Source organism: Homo sapiens, chromosome 4, assembly GCF_000001405.40.
Source record: "Homo sapiens chromosome 4, GRCh38.p14 Primary Assembly".
Classification (NCBI taxonomy): Eukaryota; Metazoa; Chordata; class Mammalia; order Primates; family Hominidae; genus Homo; species Homo sapiens.
The window spans coordinates 47798760-47818935 of NC_000004.12; the positions used below are offsets into that span (position 1 = coordinate 47798760).

General features: G+C 38.6%; 1 protein-coding gene across 3 annotated transcripts in view; it reads right to left on the reverse strand.

The window, feature by feature from the left end:
- The window catches only part of CORIN (corin, serine peptidase), a 244067-nt gene that overhangs the window by 204759 nt on the left and 19132 nt on the right, over positions 1 to 20176 (reverse strand). For all 3 annotated transcript variants that reach the window (NM_001278585.2, NM_006587.4, NM_001278586.2), the window contains exon 2: positions 8144 to 8288. In NM_001278585.2, the coding sequence (NP_001265514.1) occupies positions 8144 to 8288 (145 nt within the window). The remainder of the gene's footprint in view (positions 1 to 8143; positions 8289 to 20176) is intronic.

Below are 20176 nucleotides of genomic sequence, written 5' to 3' on the forward strand. Positions count from 1 at the left end.
TGATGCTGAGGATTGGGATACAAATGATCCCATCACCCAAGTAATGAGCATAGTAGCCAACAGTTTTTCAACCCTTGCCCTCCTCCATAGTCCCCAGTTGTCTATTGTTCCCATCTTTATGACCATGAGACTCTAGTAGTAGACTCTAGTAGTCCCCAGTGTCTATTGTTCCCATCTTTATGACCATGAGCACTCAATGTTTAGCTCCTTCTTATAAGTGAGAACATGTGGTATTTGGTTCTCTGTTCCTGTGATAATTTGCTTAAGCTAATGGCCTCCCGCTACATCCATTTTGCTGCAAAGGACATGATTTCATTCTTTTTTATGGCTGCATAGTATCCCATGGGGTGTGTGTGTGTGTGTGTGTGTGTGTGTGTGTGTGTGTGTATGTCTCCCATGTTTTCTTTATCCAATCTACCACTGATGGACACCTAGGCTGAATCCGTGTCTTTGTTATTGTGAATAGTGCTGCCATGAATATATGAGTGTGTGTGTCTTTTTGGTGGAATGATTTATTTTCTTTTGGCTATATCCCCAGTGATGAGACTGCTGGGTCAAATGGTAGTTCCATTTGAAGTTCTTTGAGAAATCTCAAAAGTTTTTTCCACAGTGACTGAAGTAATTTACATTTCCACCAACAGCATACCTTTTCTCAACAGCATCTGTTGTTTTTTGACTTTTTCGTAATAGCCATTCTGATTGGTGTGAGATGGTATCTCACTGTGGTTTTGATTTGTATCTCTCTGATGATTAGTGATGTTGAGCATTTTTTCATATGTTTGTTGGACACTTGTATGTTTATTTTGAGAAGCATCTGTTCATGTATTTTGCCCACTTTATAATGAGGTTATTTGTTTTCTGCATCTTGAATTGTTAAAAGAATGATTTTGAAGATGCGTGGGAAAACCCCCACTTCCTAAAGTTTGCCTACATATAAACAAAATAGCATATAGGAGCAGTTACATAAGTGACACAAAATTCCACTCTTGGTATATACCCAAGAGAAGTGAAAATGTATGTCCCCACAAAAACATACACACAAATATTCATAACAGGATTATAGATAATAGCCAAAAGGTGGAAATAACCCAAATGTCTATCAATTGACAAATGGATAAACTATGGTATATCCATACAATGAAATATTGTTCAGCCATTAAAAGGAATGAAGTATTAATATGTGCTACAATGTGAGTAAACCTTAAAAACATATGCTAAGGGAAAGAAGCCAGTCACAAAATACCACATATGGTCATACAGAATGTCTAGAATAGGTACATCTACAGTGAAAGAAAATAGATTAGTGGCTGCTTGGGGCTAGGGGTGAGGAGATGGGGAGAGATTGCGTGGTAGCTAAAGGGTACAGAGTTTTGTTTTGAGATGACAAAAATGTCCTAAAACAGACTGCAGTGATGGTTACATTATCTATGAATATACTAAAAACTACTGAATTGTAGACTTTAAATGGTTGGATTGAATGGTATATTATATTAATAAGAATAAATTATTAATTAACTAATAATTAATTAATTAAATTAATAAGAATAACCCACTTAAAGCAAAGCATTCCTCCTTTGCCCTCTCCTCAGAGGCCTCTAAGCACAGACGTACTTAAATGTACTTACATTTTATATTAGCATTAGACCCTGAGAATGAAAGGAAGTGTTCCTCAAAGCATGTGAGCCAATGAACATAGTCTCATGACAGACTTTTTAAAATGACAGTGGTATAGCTGAGGAAGCTCCTACCAGACAGATCTGTCCAGGGATAATAACTATAAACTCTGGACAAAACACAAAAAGACAACTACTGAAGGGCGCTGGAGAGGGAGGAGAAGCAGGCCAGGTCTGGAAGGGTGTTGACTCTTAAGAAGAGAGTGGCAGAGACGAGTTTCAGGACGGTTTACTGTCTTAGCCTGAGAGCAGGCCACAGTTGACACCACAGAGCAAGAAGCGACTAAATCTCCCACAGAAAACCCTCAGTCTTCCTGGGCTGGGGCACTCGTTCTGTCTTCCTCTTACTTGGTCACCCTCTGACCTCTGGCATCTGTGAAAGCCAGCATTTCTGGGTTCCTTTCCTTCTCTGACTATTCTTCCTGTATCTCTTTTTCCCTCCTGTTTGTCTTCCCCTTAAACACTAGCATCCTCCAGAGCATTGCCCTCAGCTTCTGCTTAATGCATTTTCTCTTCAGAGTTCATCGACTCCTGCTGCTTCAACTGCCACTGAGACTGCCGCATGCATGGCAGACCTCCCTTCTCAACCTCCCTCCTGGATCCCCTAGCTTCAGTCCTATGCCAATGACTTGGAAGTTAAATTTTAAAGTCAGTGCTGCTCTGTCACAGAAGCCAAACATCATATTTGGTCACAATTTCTCTTGAAACTCCTTAGGAAAGCAACATGTTGGATTTCTCATTTTTCTCCATTTCTTGACCTGCTTTCACTGTTGAATTCAACTATGATTCCATTGTATTTGGTTGTCCCATAAGTATCTCTAATACACAAATCAACCTTCCAATCTTTATTTCATCTGCCTGTATCAGACTCCTGCACCTTTACTTCCTATGTTAACAGGTAGTATCAAAACTAACCTGGTTAGATACAGGAGGCAGAGCAAGAGGCCTGATAGAAGTCTATAGCATTGGTCCCCCACCCCAAAGGAACAGCAAATTTTAACAATTAACTACACACAAAAGGCACTAATACAAGAATCAAAAATCAGGTGAGCAATCACAATACCTGGTTTTAACTTCATATCACTGAAGAAGACAGTAAAGAGGGCAAGAAAGATAGTCTTGAATGCTGACACCATCCTCTCCCATCCCCCAGCAGTAGCCATGCAGCTTGGAGAATGTGGGCACTTGGGAGAGGGAGAGTGCAGCAATTATGAGGCTTTGCATTGAGCTCAGTGCTGCCCTGTCACAGCAGAAAGCAGAGGGAACATTTGGACAGGCCCAGGCCAAAGGGTAATTGCCCATCCCAGTGGTGAGAGCTTGAGTTCCAGCGAGCCTCACCACTGCAGGCTGGAATGCTCTGGGACTTTAAATGAACTTGAGGGACAGCCTAGGCCACAAGGACTGCAATTCCTAGGCAAGCCCTAGTGCTGAGCTGGGTTCAGAGCCGGTGGACTGGGAGACACATGACCTACTGAGACACAAGCTAGGTGGCTAAGGGAGTGCTTGTGCCACCTCTCCTTCATCCTCCAGCAGTGGGTGTGTGGCATGGAGAAATCGGTGTGCTTGGTAAAGGGAGAGCACAGCAACTGGGGGACTTTACATTGAACTCAGTGCTGATCTGTCACAGCAGAGACCTGGCAGGAGTCAGCACTTGCTGACCAAAGAGCCCCATGGCCCTGAATACCCAACAGCAATACCCAGAGCCTTGGGCTCTGAGATGTGCTGGCTTCAGATGTGACCTCGCACATTCCTAGCTGTGGTGGCTATGGTGAAAGACTCTTTCTATTAAAAGCAGGGGAAAAAAGTAAAGGGGACTCTCTCTGGCACCTGAGGTGACTGCTTGGCCTCGGTGGGGTAGGGCACCAACCAGGCTCTTAGGGTCCCTGAGTCTAGGCCTAGGCTCTTGGTTAGCATTTCTGGACCTGCCCTGGGCCAGAGAGGAGTCCACTGTCCTGAAGAGTGAGTCCCAGGCCTGGAAGCATGCATCATTAACCAACTGAAGGGCCTTTGGGCTCTAAGTGAACATCAGTGGTGGCCTGGCAAAAGCCCCCATGGGTTGGTGGTTGTGGTGGCCACAGGGAGAGACTCCTTGGCCAATGGAAATGGGAGGGAAGAGTGGGAAGGACTTTGTCTTGTGGTTCGAGTACCAGCTTAGCTGCAGTAGAATAGAACACCAGCTAAAGTTCTAAGGTTTTTTACTTCAATCCGTGGCTCCAAGACAGCATCTCTGGACCCACCTGAGGCCTGGGGGAGCTCACTGCCCTGAAGAGAGGGACACAAACCTGGCTGGCTTTGCCACCTGCTGATTGTAGACTCTAAAGCTTTGAGTGAACTTAGGTGGTAGCCAAGTAGTGGTTATAGCAGGCCTTGGGTAAGACTCAGTGTTGTGCTGGCTTCAAGTCTCAACTAGCACAGTCCCAGTGGTAGTGGCCATGGGGATGTTGTGTTCCTGCCCCAGTTCCAGAAGGCTCAGCACAGGGAGAGAGAGAGACTCTGTTTGTTTGGGAGAAAGTAAGGAAAAAGAACGAGAGTCTCGGCCTGGCAATTCAGAGAATTCTTCCAGACTTTAACCAGGACCACCAAGGCAGTACCTTTCTCTAGAAGTCTTCAAGAATTGCAGCATTATAGGGTCGCAGGCCCAAGTCCCTTAGAAGACCTGAAACACCTTCCCAAGAAAAATGGACACAAATGGGCCCAGACTTTAAATTAATGTAACTGAAGTAGTGAAAGATCTTTATAATGAAAACTAAAAACTGATGAAAAAAACTGAAGAGGACACCAAAAAATGGCAAGATATTTGATGTTCATGGATTGGAAGAATCAATATTGTTAACATTTCCATAGTACTCAAAGCAATCTGCAGATTCCATGCAATCCCTATCCAAATACCAAAGACATTCTTCATAGAAATAGAAAAAACAATTCTAAAATTTATATGGAACCACAAAAGACCCAGTATAGCCCAAGCTATCCTATGCAAAAAGAATGAAACTGGAAGAATCACATTACCTGACTTCAAATAATACTACAGAGCTATAGTAAACAAAACAGCATGATACTGGCATACAAACAGACACACAGACTGATGGAACAGAATAGAGAACCCAGAAACAAATTCACACACCTACATAGACCTCATTTTCAATAAAGATGCCAAGAACATACATTGCGGAAAGAACAGTCTCTTCAATAAATTGTGCTTAAAAAACTGGATATCCACATGCAGAAGAATAAAACTAGACTGCTATCTCTCGCTATATTCAAAAATCAAATCAAAATGGATTAAAGACTTAAATATAAGACTTCAAACTATGAAAATGCTAAAAGAAAACATTGGGGAAACTTTAGGACATTGGTCTGAGCAAAAATTTCTTGAGTCATACCACACAAGCACAGGCAACCAAAGCAAAAATGAACAGCTGGGATCCCATCAAGTTACAAAGCTCCTGCACAGCAAAGGAAACAGTCAACAAAGTGAAGAGACAACCCACAGAATGAGAGAAAATATTTTCAAACTACCCATCTGACAAGAGATTCATAATCAGAATTTATAAGGAGCTCAAACAACTTTCTTTTAAAAAATCGAATAATCCCACTTAAAAATGGGCAAAAGATTTGAATAGACATTTTTCAAAATAAGGCATACAAATGGCAAATAAGCATATGAAAAGGGGCTCAACATCACTGACCATCAGAGAAATGCAAATCAAAACTACAATGAGATATTACCTCACCCCAGCTAAAATGGTTTATATCCAAAAGACAGGCAATAACAAATGCTGGTAAGGATATGGAGAAAAGGGAAGCATTGTACACTGTTGATGGGAATGTAAATTAGTACAACCACTATAAAGAACAGTTTGGACATTCCTCAAAAAAACTAAAATTGAGCTATCATATAATCCAGCAATCCCACTGCTGGGTATATGCCCAAAAGAAAGGAAATCTGTACATCAAATAGATATCTGCATTTCCATGTTTGTTGCAGCACTGATCACACTCGTCAATATTTGGAAGCAACCTAAATGTCCATCAACAGATGATTGGATAAAGAAAATATGGTGCATATATACAATGGAGTACTATGCAGCCATAAAAAGGATTAGATACTGTCATTTTGCAACAAAATGAATGGAACTGGAGGTTATTATGTTAAATGAAATAAGTCAGACATAGAAAGACAAACTTCACATGTTCTCACTTATTTTAGGGGCTAAAAATCAAAACAATTGAACTCATGGAGACAGAGAATAGATGGATGGTTATCAGAGGCTGAGGCTGGGAAGGATGGTGGGGGGTGGGGAGGGGGGGGGTTGTTAATGGGTACAAAAATTATGTATAGTTAGAAAGAATGAATAAGATATTATTTGATTGCACAACAGGATGACTATAGTAAATAGAAGTTTAATTGTACATTTAAAAATAATAGAGTATAATTGGATTATAAAAATATAAGATTTTTGGGAGGCCGAGACGGGTGGATCACGCGGTCAGGAGATCGAGACCATCCTGACTAACACAGTGAAACCCTGTTTCTACTAAAAATACAAAAGAATAGCCGGGCGTGGTGGCGGGCGCCTGTAGTCCCAGCTACTTGGTAGGCTGAGGCAGGAGAATGGCGTGAACCCAGGAGGCAGAGCTTGCAGTGAGCCGAGATCGCGCCACTGCACTCCAGCCTGGGCAACACAGCGAGACTCCATCTCAAAAAAAAAAAAAAATAATAATAATAATAATAATAATAGAGTATAATTGGATTATAAAAAAAATAGAGTATAATTGGATTATTGTGACAAAGTATAAATGCTTGAGGGGATGGAAAGCCCATTTTTCATGATGTGGTTATTGCTTATTACATGCCTGTAGGAAAGTATGTAACATACCTCATAAATATATACACCCACTATGTACCCACAAACATTTTTTTTAAAAAACCTGGTTACCCAAGCCAGAAATCCAGGAGTCAGCCTTGACTCCTCTCTCCCTCACACCAAAATCCAATCAGTCTTGATTTCTGTTGATTTTAATGCATCCAATGCCTTATTTCAAACACTCATCACCTTTTACTTAGACCAGAGTCAGAGCCCCGAACTGGTCTCCCTCTGCCTTCATTTCTTTCTGCCTCCAGTACTCTGTAGTGTATCCAGTTCTACCGCCTTTTGCAAATGTAAAATAATCAGAGTTCTCCTTTCTTGGAAAGATCCTCCAGTGGTAATCCACCACCCATAGCAGTGTTTTGTAATCATTTTTATAGCAGATCAATGTTATTTTCAAATAAATATCATAAAAAGCCTAATATCTATTAATAGATATGAGCTGAATTTTATTGTGGTTAACTTACTTTATAAGATCTAAGTGTGTAACTTCTATAAACCAGTAAGAAAATAATAGGGAGGTTTGGCAAAACTTAAAAATTCAAAATCATTGGCAATGCAATTAGATCAGCATCGTCTTGATATTTATTTCTCTGTTTTATTTGATTGCACATATTTTTTGAAATCCTGATTCATATCATTAGGTAGCCACCAGTGATAATAGTTTATTGCTTTTTCCAAAAAGTTCACTTTTCAAACTTTAAGTATCATTCACTTAGAAAAAGATAGCAAGATGCAACTAATGAGCTAACTAATGAGTTAACCTGTCAGCACATATTACTTGGTTTCTGGTTTTTACTTGGTTAAAAATGTGGTATGTAATATTTAGTTTGAGTGTGTTTTTAAGATTTTTTTTTTTAATGAAAGTCAAAGCAAACATTTGTGCAATCCTTAAGTCTCCTCCTTAGAACCTTGTTACCATGGAATAGAGTTTGAAAACCAGTGATCTAAAAGCTAAAGCCCAAATTCCTTAGTATTTAGTATGAAAATGTAAGATGCTGTTTAATTTGGACTTTATTGATCTAGCTGCATTTCCCACCACTGCCAAATTTTCACCCAGTTTTCTAAATCTATGTTCATCTTTCAAGGGGTTATAGTTTTGCAGTAGTTATTTTCTCTGCCAAATGTGACTCCTGAACTACTGTCTTCTAACCTAAATTTCTATTAACTTAATTCCGAAGTTAACACATTAACTCTCCATGATGCTTTCTTTGAATGTGCCCATGGGACCTTGTCTATACACTTCTATCTTAAACACGTGTTGCCTTGTGTGATAATCATCACTTCCTCTCAACTGTGAGCTCCTAAGAAAGGACTAATTTAACCATCCTGGAGTTCTCAGGAACTTTCAAAATGCCTGCAACCTAGTAATCATTCCTTAAATGTTTTAAATTCATAAACTCATTCATTAATATTAATAATAATAACCAGTAGAGTGGTTACAGTAGCTGAAACTGCAGATTTGCATAACGTCATCAAAAGATAATCCTCTCATTGACTGACACTTTGGGTTAAATAAGTACTAAGTAGAAATCACTCTTCTAGATCATGCTAATTTTCACTTTAACTTCATTTTTATTTAATAATGGCCTCACCCACCAACATAGGAAAGCAGGATCACCAGCAAGAGAACGAGAGCACAGATACATGGAATCAGGACCAGCAATAGGAACCGGAGGAGGTTAGCAGTCGCCAGCTTCTGAGAGCAGCCATTGCCCATGTTATTGTCATCAGCTCTCAAGACCTAAAGTAAAAGAGGAAAATGCAACATGGTTTTAGTTTTACAATACATGGTATGAAATTTTAGGTTACAGCTATCCATTTAGAACAGCACATTCCAAAAAGATTTTACAGTTTGTGGTTTAGGGTATGAAATGAGCTTAGTCAACAAATCATGCCAATAAAGGAACAGATAACTGTACATCTACATTCAGGGAAGAGCAAACTATCTATTTCTGAAACATTTTTCGGAAGTACATAGGCTTTTAACAATATCCCATTTTGCTTTTTTAAAACATATTTGTCAATTTGGTATGATTCCAAAGGGCTATGAATGACCATGGCAAAACCTTACCCTGGCCCAAAGCTATGACAGAAGTGAAGGCTGCCTAATACAGTGATAAAAAATTGGTAAGTAGGTGTAGACAGAATATTATCCAGACTTCATTCTTTTTTGTCTCATTAGTCTAAACCAAATGTGAATGAATCTGGATAAAATAAGTTTTTGGCCATTAATAATTCAGCCAGGCTCACTGTTACTGACCATGCATTTAGTGACAAGTTGAAATATAAGGAGGAGCCTGCCTGATTGCCAATTAAACGCTAACAACTCTGAGGACATCCTCGGCTGCCCATGCTACCCCTGCAGCCCATCCTGTGTGAGAGGATGTCAAAGTGCAACAACGACGGTTCAGATAAAGTTCTTGTCTTCAAATGCTTCAAATTTTGCTTAGTTCAATCTCTTGCCAGAAATGATATCTGGAAATTCATTTATTACAGATGGCTAGCTTAAAGCAGTGACTTCAAAAAAACATCTGAGATGGTACTAAAAGGGCTTTGAATAACTACAAGAAACTCTCCGAGTCTCCTTAATGAAGGCATTTCTCATGATTCTCTCTTGGACTTCTGACTGCATTTTCTCCTCTGACAGTTTCAGAACTTGAACTATAACCTCAGTGTAACTACCTCCTGAATCTCTCTTGCATCCTGTACTCCTTTCAGAGTTACACTACATATTTCCAATGCCTGGTGGGTAGCAGCGTCTCTTTTTAACAAGTCCAAAATTAAGACGAACCTTCTCTCTCTCTATCTTCAAACTAGTTCTTCTCCTGACTTTCATATTTATGTTTACAGAAATTCCTCCATTCCAATATGGGGAGTGGAGTCCAAAGACTCCCCATTTCATCATCCCCCTATGCCGTACATCACCAGGTTTTGTTGGTTCTTCCTCTTAATAAATACCAAACTTTTTTTAAAAAAATGAATGACCTTTGAGAAAGAGCCTTATAATAATCAAGAAGTTGTTCTAACACAATGGCCCTGTAATATTCTCAGGACTTCCTGACGAGTATTTGATTATTTCCCGTGGATGCAAAGGCAATTTTGAAGGGTTCTTCTGAATTGCAAGGCATATGTGATTCCCATTTCTGCTTTATTCTCTCTATAAGGGAATATAGGTTCACTAACCCATATTGCAAGCAGTGTTCACTACATAATATGATGACACCTTCTGTAATTTTAAGAATTCTCCATGAGAGACATTATTTGAAGTAACTTGTGTTGTTAACTTGAGAAGAACTTCATTTCCTAGGTTAATGTCTTACTGATCCATTGTACCTGGATTAAGCTACCAGCCAATGTGTTATAATTTATAGTTAATTTACAACTGATCTTCAAGAAGACAATTGATCTTCAAGAAGATAAGTGTACAACACTTACCTACAAAAAAATCAATCAATAAATAAAAGTGTGGGACTACAGGCCAACAAAGTTAGTGGCAGAAACAAGTTGATACTTGTTTATTTTACTTAGTTATTGAATACCTACTAATTATAATAATAGTGATGGATACGACAATGACTTCAAACCACTGTCTCTCAAAAGCTCACAGTCTTGTAGGAGAGATGAAATGTACATGACTATATTGCAAGGTAGCAAATGATAAGCACCATGACACTTATAGCTAAAGTGATATAAGAATTCAAAAGATAGAAATACGATTTCTTGCTGGAAGATCACGTAAGACATTGTAGAGAGAGCAACCCTGAATCAGCCATAATTCTGAGAAAAGTACCCCTGAACAAGTCTGTTACGAGTTAAAAAAAGTTGCAAAGTATTTAACTTCTACAACAGTGAAGAAGCTTCCTTGCTAAGGTGATCACAGAAGCATTATAGGAATAACCTTGGCTCATTGCCATCTGGACTCCTGGAGCCAGATACATCTCATTTAGCATTTATAAGTAAAGAGTCAGTGGAGAAAATGCTAGAGGCCCATTTTAATATGTCATCTAAGTAGATATCAAGTACTGGACCTCCAAAAACAATATTCATGATTAGACCAAATATTTTCTTCAGTGACAAGAGAATTGATTGCTTTTTTTTTTTTTTTTTTTTTTTTTTGAGATAGAGTCTCGTTCTGTTGCCCAGGCTGGAGTGCAGTGGCACAATCTTGGCTCACTGCAACCTCCGCCTTCCAGGTTCATGCGATTCTCCTACCTCAGCCTCCTGAATAGCTGAGATTATAGGCACACACCACCACTCCCGGCTAATTTTTTGTGCATTTTTAATAGAGACAGAGTTTCACTATGTTGGCCAGACTGGTCTCGAACTCCTGACCCCGTGATCCACCCGCCTCGGCCTCCTAAAGTGCTGGGATCACAGGTGTAAGCCACCACGCCCAGCCAGAGAATTGATTGCTTTTTTCAAAGGGAGAGGAGGAAGAAATAGGTAGGAGAAATTCAATACTTCAACACTTTCTTCTTGAATAACTTGCATAACTTTCCTCTTGCACTCATGGCCACTTAGGACTGTTGCAAATGCTACATTATGCACAGGCCCTTGGAGGTTCCTCTGAACACAAGGCAACTCTCAGACTTCACTGTTGAGTAAATGCCAGGTGAAATAAACAACCAGAATCATCCTTAAGCTTTGTTTCAATGGACTCTAAACAATCCTCCCTTCAAATGGCATCCCTCTTCCACAAGCACCTTCCTCAGCCTTGAAACTAAGCTGAGCACAGGCACAGCATTCCATGGCAAGGGTAGGGAACGATGCATCTGATTGGACCTGCACATATTTGTAAAGCATGTCATTCTTTTGTGTTTTGTTTGTTGTTGTTTTTATTTTTGGTTTTGGTTTTGGGCTTTTGTTTGTTTGTTTGTTTTTGGTGTTTTGTTTTGTTTTGAGACAGGGTCTCACTCTGTCGCCCAGGCTGGAGTGCAGTGGCATGATCTCGGCTCATTGCAACCTCTGCCTCCTGGGCTCAAGTGATTCTCCTGCCTCAGTCTTCTGAGTGACTGGGACAACAGGTATGCACCAAACATCACGCCCAGCTAATTTTTTTGTAGAGACAGGATTTCACCATGGTGCTCTGGCTGATCTCAAACTTCTGGGCTCAAGTGATCCACCCACCTCAAGCTTCCAAATGTTCTTATGTTTTACTAATCTTGTTACTGAAAATGTGTTTCTTCTATCTTAAGAACTACATTTATTTTAAAAACTGTCATGTTGTTTTATATAATGTACACTGGCACAGTGTACCATTGTACCACAAGTGTATGCTATCTTGGTATCATTTGAGAGGTCAAAATTTCAGATAGCCAGTTCCTCCTTCTTGAAGCACTTTCTTCCTTTGGCTTCTCTTTCTCCTACCTCTCTGGTCATTCCTTCTCTTTCTGTAGGCTCAATTCTCACATTCACTCGCTCCCCAGGCAATGTCACCCACACATTTAACTTCAATTAGCAGCCCTCCATAGGTGACTCGCATCTTTAAATAACAACCATAGATCTTTCCTCTGATCTCCAGAGGAAGATTGCATTATATGCAACTGACCACTTGACATCTCCTCATTGGAGGTTGTAAAAGTAGCTCAAACTCAACAAGTCTGGAACCAAATAAACAATTTTCATCCCCATATCTGGTATTCTTCCAGGGTTTGTGATCTCAAAAAAGGTAATTGCACAACTATCATGTGTCAGGCATTGTTTGGGCACTTGGGATATATTAATATGCAAAACGAAACTCTCTAGTCTCATAGATGCTACATTATAGTAAAAATAAACATATCTCTCCTGAAATACTGCAAATACCTCCTCCTATCTGGTTTACCTATATTTATCCATGCACTCCCTAACCTGTTCTCCACACTATAGCCAGAGTAAGAAAGAGGCTGTATTATCTTTGCATGATGAGAAAAAACAACGTGAAAAATGACCCCAAAGCTGAACTAATTCAAGAATGCAGAGCCTGGAACCAGAGCTGATCATGAGAACCATGCACCCAGAGGTTCTGGGGAGGGCTTTGGATTTACATTAGGGTGTACGAGGTTTTGAGTCCATTTTATCAAGTTTGCAAAGGTCAAGGAGATTATAGTTGACATTTCAAGTACATAAGTCTTTACCCTCTTTTACCTTCAGGCAGCATTTGACTTTGTCAACACATGGTGCATTCCTGAGGGCACATCCACATCTGCGAATGGCAGACAATATTTGAGAGCTTGTTTGGAGGTTCTAGCTGGGGGGTGCACCTACTTGAATACCCCTGACCAAAGGTGAGTCCTCATCTATCAGGGATGGTTGTCCTTTCAAATATTCCTGCCTCCTAAAGTGCTGAGATCACAGGCTTGAGCCACCGCGCCCAGCCGAGGATTATTTTCTAATTGGTTGGATTACCTTTTGGGATAAATTTTACATCTTAAATATATAGAACAGGGATCAGAAAACTAGTCTATGGACCAAACTCAGCACACCTAGTATTTTTGTACATACAGTTTTATTGGATACAGCCATGTTCATTTGTTTATATTCTGTCTATACTGCTCTGCTGCTACTACAACAACATTGAGTAGTTGCAACAGAGATCATATGGTACTCAAAGCCTAAAATCTTTACTATCTGATACTTTATAGAAAAAGTATGTGAGCCCCTGATGTAGTGTATCAGTGTATATCTGCATATATGTGTATTTTTAAATTTGCATGTTTAATTTGATAATCAAACTAAAATATAAATTCTTTTAAGAAAATTGTATTTTAATCTCTTCATCAGGGCTTTTAATGAAATATGATATAATTGTACAGGGGGTAAATTAGCAGACAAAACTATTTGTTGCTGTAGTGCAAAGTTACTCCAGAAAAGGTTGAAAGATAAAAATAATCTTCAAAGTAGAAAAAAAATTATCAACACTATATATGTGGCTGGGCACAATGGCTCATACCTATAACACCAGCACTTTGGGAGGCTGAGGCAGGAGGATTATTTGAGCCCAGGAGTTCAAGGTCAAACTGGACAATATAGTGAGACCTCATTCTCTACAAAAAGAAAAAAAATTAATGTTAGCCAAGCATGGTGGTTGTTGCCTGTAGTCCCAGCTACTTAGGAAGCTGAGGTGGGAGGACTGCTTGAACCCATGAGACTGAGGTTGCAGTGAGCCAAGATCGTACCACTGCACTGCAGCCTGGGAGACAGAACGAGACCCTGGGTCCAATAAATAAATAAATAAATACTATATGCACTACATTAGGAGAAAGGAAAGCACTAGTTTCAGAAACATTCAAGCTGAAAGAGTACCACAACATGCATCATAGACTATAGGAACCAACAAATACTCATAAGATTTTAGAGCTAGAAAGTACAAATTTATTCCTGCTTCTTTAAAAACACAATCATAGCAGAAGTCATACCAATTCAGTCTATTTCTTGCTATATATGCAAATATTGCCCTTTTCTCATCAGTGAATGCTCTGTATCTAGAACAGTACCTGAACACGGTCAGGAGTTAGTGGATAAACACTTACTGAATAAATGAATTAATTAAATTTCCTAAATAAAAATTACTTTGTACATAATTATGCAAATAACTACTTCTTACAGAGTCTATTCCTAAATCATCCAAAAATCCTTCAAGTAGAAAATGTATTTGGCAAGAAGTAAAAATATAAATAATAACCACAATTGCATACTAATATGATGTGTACACCTGTTGACTACCGCACAACTCCTTACACCTTGGAATCAGATCAGACACCACCACCCCTCATTGCCTGCTCCACATGGATTCTTTCATAGCACAACTTTTGCATAGCAACCGCCAAGAACCCAGCTTTGTGGAGACAGGACAATATCAAAAGGAATATAGCACAATCTAATGTTGAAACTGTGAGCTACCTCAAGCTAGTATTTCATGTGATGACCAATAAATGTCAAGTATCGCTGCATTTGCCTCAAAAACTAAAAATATCCAGCAAAGTCCCTTGAGTCACTGCAGCAACCTGGAATACAACAGCACACAGTTTGGAAACCATAGTCCAAGTCCTTGCTTATTTATTTCTCCCAATACCTAATTTAAAAACAAACAAAACAAAACCTATCCCTTGACCATTCCAAGGTTTTGCCAAACATATGCTGTCTTTAGCTCTGAAAGCAATAATATGCACTCAGAGAAATTGTCTACAAAGAGATTAACATCAGCCTGCTATTTCTTAAGGTACAGCATCAGACATAGAGATATGTTGATATTTTTATTTTAAACAAGATTTGTTTAATTGCCATCAAAGATCAGGCAAACTTGAGGCAGAATTTAAACTGTTTCTGATAAGCAGAATATTTTGAAATGTGAAGATTAATTCTGTCTGCCTAATGTGACATTATACCATGGATTTTATTAAATACCAAAATTATTCTTACCAAAATTAAATACCAAAATGTTCTTAAATAAACTATGTAGACTTAGTTAATACATGATGGTTAGTCAACACAGTCTGTGAACTTTATTTAGATGTACAAACAGTACTTGCTAGAGGTTATCCTAATTCATATGCCAATCTGGTGGATTTAGCTAAAATTCTATTTATTGTTTGAAGTTTCTGATATTACCAAGCCAAAATGTCAAACTGTTCTCAAACCAAAATGAGAATGTTCATTTTAATAGATGGGATTGTATGCAAAATTATGGCAGAATTCAATGACCATTTGTCTTATCACAAAATATTTGCTTACAATGTTAAAAACAAACAACTAAAAAGAAAAAAATCATCCAAAATCAACACTATGTATTGGCTTGAGACAAATTTAGTACCTTAATTCTTTAGGTAGGAAGATGATAAACTGCAAATATACTCTTCCATTTCAGCAAAGCAAGGACCAGCCTCAAGGATAATAAAGTGACTCCTACTGGTGTGTCCTAAACAGGACACAGAAGCTCCCTCTAAACACTGTGGGGGCATTACAGTGTCACATATTAATATACTCACGAATCTAAAGAAATGCAGACACTGAGACTCTACTTGCGGCTAGATATTCAACTTGGAACTTTGTCCTGCACAATCATTATGCCAAAATGTGATTTGTGTTCTTTTTTCAGTCATAGAGATGGAGTTTTTCCAACCCATCTCCACTCTGTCCGTAGAGCAAAAATTAGTCAATTGTTACCCCCTCATTTAAGATGAAAAATGGACAGTGCTAGATGCTTCCCACTCTGTTCTTAAGAAATTATGAAAGTGACCTTCACATGAATTAAAAGTAGATTTGTTGAGTAACAGATTAATAATGTGGATAGTTCTCAAGCCAGGCATCTGCAATTCTCTGCAATAATAGCTCTCACTCAACCAACAAGCAAAATGCCTCCAAAATCATCATGTCTTTTGGTGTGATGTTTGTTTTTAATATCCCAGGAAGCATAAAGAACACGCATCTGGTTTTCAGTAAGTCTTTTCATCCCATTTTCTGGCATGTAGTTGAAGCATATGAAGTTTAAATAACTCATGCAGTCTCTCAAAATGAAATTACTCAGTTCATACCAGAACACATGGTACTGCAAGCCAACTCTGCCCACATTTTCCCTTTGAAAGTTAACAAAATAACAGCACCAGATAGTCCTCTCCCAAATTTCAGAATCACATATCCCAGAATGTAGATTCAATATGGAGACTAAATACCAACAAAATATGTATCCTATCAAGGAGACTAGATAATAATAACCCAGTACGCAGGCACCATATAACATTAGTGTTTCTGTTTTGAGGATACATTGTTTAGCTGAAGTCTGAACTGTGAGAGACGAGATTGGAATGTTTCAAAGGCAACTTGTACAATACTTTCTCAGCCACTGAAAATCTACGTAACCTTATAAAGTCATCTTCCATTCTTAACCGTATCTCCGTATCTGCAAATAAGGCATAAAAAGGTCTTTCTCCAACCACAAATACCCCAAAAGTAAAGTGAAATTAGTAAAGCAAAAGAAAAATGAAAAAAAAATGTTTCTTTCAAGTTCAGAAAGCTCAAGAGTCCTGATTTTTTTTTAACACATAGTTCAGAGCTTGCTCAATTTAGTTTCCCTGGAGGAAAGTTATTATCTTTATTTAAATGAGGAGATATCTTCAGAGGCAACAGGAGAATAGTTTAGCCTTTTAGGTAAATCCTATTTTCTTCAGAGCACTGTAGGAGGGTCATATTTCTGTAATAGTTATAGAAGATGATTTTGGGAAGAAACAGTAGGCTCTCATTATCCAGACAAGATAGATAAATAGGATCCTGTGTCCTTTTTGGAGATGACTTTGCCCTCAATCTCAAACTTGCCAATACTATCATTTTATGAAAGACACAAAGTTTAAAGTAATAAAGTTTCCTTTTAGGTATATACAATATCAGAACTCTTTCTGCATATATTGGAGAGTCTTAAAGGTCAGTTTTTCAGCCTATATTTTTTAAAACAATAGAGAATACGGGGGGAAAGAGAGTTGGGTTATCCATTTCTTGGGAAATTAAATATTTGATATTTATTGATAAAAATGTTCTAAATTTCACATCTTGATTATTCGTTACTACATCTCTAAGAAAGCTATGGCAAAATCCAAAGGAGTCAAACAGTTAACATAAAGCCAAACCCACATTTCATTTAGCGCTAAGGAGGCTCCTGAATTTGTGCAAATCTTAGAAACTTAATTGACTCACTAATCCTATAACAATGGAAATGTTGTGACTTTTAAAAATTGAAACAGATTGTCAAAGTGAGTAGCGAATTAAAAGATTGACTTTCTACAGCTGAAAATAATCAGGGAAAGCATAGAAGACAAAGTGGATTTTATGCTCTACAACAATTCATTTCAGGCATTTCAATGCAAAGTAAAACATAAACAGATGTTGAAAACAATTAACCTACTGAACCTACCTGCTGAAAAGGAATCCTGCAGTGAAAAAATACAAGTAATGATGTTATGCATTAGATGAAGCAGCAATTTCTTTCTGAATACCTAAAGCAAAAGATGAATTCCAAACTTAACATTCATCATATGTTTTGCTATAGTTCCATGAATATTCTAGTTGAAAAATGAGAAATTCTGTGTTGAGGTTTCCATTACAAAACACGTCTATGTGACATGTTAAAATCCCAGTAATTTGGTTTATTCCACAAATGCTTATGTAACATCTATTCTGTGTTATAGGGCTATAAAGATGAAGAAAACATAGTCCCTGTCCTCAAGGAGTTAACAGCCTACCTCCAAGAAGATATACAGCTTCACAGGTGACTTCAATACCCTATGACTAGGGTAATGCAGACATGTAAAAAGTACAACAACAAATCAACCATAGGTGCAGTGTGAACTTTTGCACTGAAACAACAGTATTTCTTGAGCGTTTATTCCAATGAGCCTCAAAGCACATGTCTGTTGGTTGAAGGAGGAGGGGGGCCAAAGAGAAGCAATGTAATTGATATTCCGAGAAGGACAATTTTTCACTGATGGACTCTCTCACATATTGCAGGATATTTGGCATCCCTGGCCACCACCTAATAAATGCCAGCCATAGCACAAGCACACACACACGTGCACACACACACACACACTCACACACTCATTGTGACCAACAAATAGCTCCTACTTTATTTCCAAATGTTCTTTAGAGTACTGCCTTCCCTAGTTGAGAACCACTTGGGCCATTCAGCAATCATCTATTGAGCAATACGGTGTGGTCAGCTTGACTCTCTGGATACAAGGCACAGCCCTAAGTAAGCAAACTGTTACCCTTCCTATAGGCATTAATAAACACTAGCTCTTTAGGTAAGTACTAAATCTTATGCCTTTTTTCCACAGAGGTATGGGACATTTAAAAAATAATAATCATTATGTCTCTTAATTGTGTGTGATCATCACCCTACCTGGAACACAAAGAACACAGAATTTGAATGTCAACATCAATCGAATATCAATCAAAAAGAAGTGGCAGAATGTATTAAGTCCTTTAAAACATATACTACTAACTATATATATATAACAAAATATATATATATATAATATATAACTAACATATACTACTCTTGAACCAGGAGTCTTGAGAGAGTATGGAGTGGTACTAGGGTAGAACAACACACATGGAGTGATTATTTCTTGATCTGGCACAGCATGAGGCTTTAAGCCTTGGTGGACCCATACCAAACATGGTCCATGTAGGACTTTAGACTTTGGACAGTCTCTGCAGCCTATGCCAGTTCCCAGTGTTTCAGCTGTGGCTGAGGTAGGATCAAGTTTTTAGCTTCTGGAGGTGAACAGGACAAAAGGTGCTGCCTGGAAACTACAAAACAGCTGAGATTCTTTGGTTCTCAAGAAGTAGATGTGAGCTTCTAGTTTTGACTATTTGTGCCAGTCTTAAAATAAGTATTAAACTGAAGAAAGGCTGCCCCAAATTCTATTCCTCCTTATGTTGTTTTAAGCTACATTCAGGGCCATGGAAAGAAACAGAGAAGGGGAGATCTCAATCCTTAAGATGCACAGAATTTGTTCACAGGTTCTAGCCACCCTCTATCACATGATCCTAAGTTCACTCTGGATTTGTTAAACAAATAATCTCTGACCCGGTCTCTAGATTTCATAGACCTAATTCATGGATTCAGCTGTAGATTTACCCTTCTACAGCTGGTAGATTTACCCTTCTACAGCTGGTAGATTTCATTTGAAAACAAAAATATACAAGGCTTTATCATCATGTATTCCTTCTTCTTGGGGTGAAGTAGGAACACAACTCAATAAAACTTTTGCAAATGCAAAGGCTAAAAAGGCAATTCAAAGGCCTGTGCATTAAACATCCTGTCTCTACAGAATGTTTATCTCAGGAGGTCAAAAAATATCTGGAATGGTTTGAAAAACATAGTTCAGTCTTACTTTCAGAAAAAGTGTTGACTAAACTACTAAATTAGAGGAAGACATAAGTTTCCTTAAGAGAAGGGTTGAGTTTTGAGCAGGTAGGCTGAGCAGATAAGAAGGAAAAAGTGAGACTCTGAAGGTCTGTGTGGATAGATATAGACGAGCAAGGAGTTGCACCCAGGTCTAATACGCTTAAAGAGTTTATTGGAAAGAGAGAGATGCTTCTGATAACTACTAGACAATAAAGTATGGCTGGAACCCAAAGAAATCAAACAGAGGAAGAAAGACAAGTTCTCAGAAAACAAATGAATTGTCTGTCCCCAAAAGGTCAAGGATGTGATAAATTACTAAAAGGCAGTTTTTTAAAAGCTGCAGATAGACATTTGATTGTAAAAACAACTGAGGAACCATGCCTAAAAGATTGGACAACTGGTCAGACAAGGTGGCTCACACCTGTAATCCCAGCACTTTGGGAGGCCAAGGAATGTGGATCACTTGAGCTCAGGAGTTTTCAAGACTACCCTGGGCAACATGGCAAAAACTCGTCTCTAACAAAAATGCAAAAATTAGCCAGACGTGGTGGTGCACTCCTGTGGTCCCAGCTACCTGGGAGGCTGAGGTGGGAGGATCACTGGAGCCCAGGAAGTCAAGGCTGCAGTGAAATGTAATCATACCACTGCACTCCAGCCTAAGTGACAGAGAAAGATTCTGTCAAAAACAGAAAAAAAAAAAAAAAAAAGATTGGACAACTATGCCAAGCAGCTTTTGAAAATCTGGA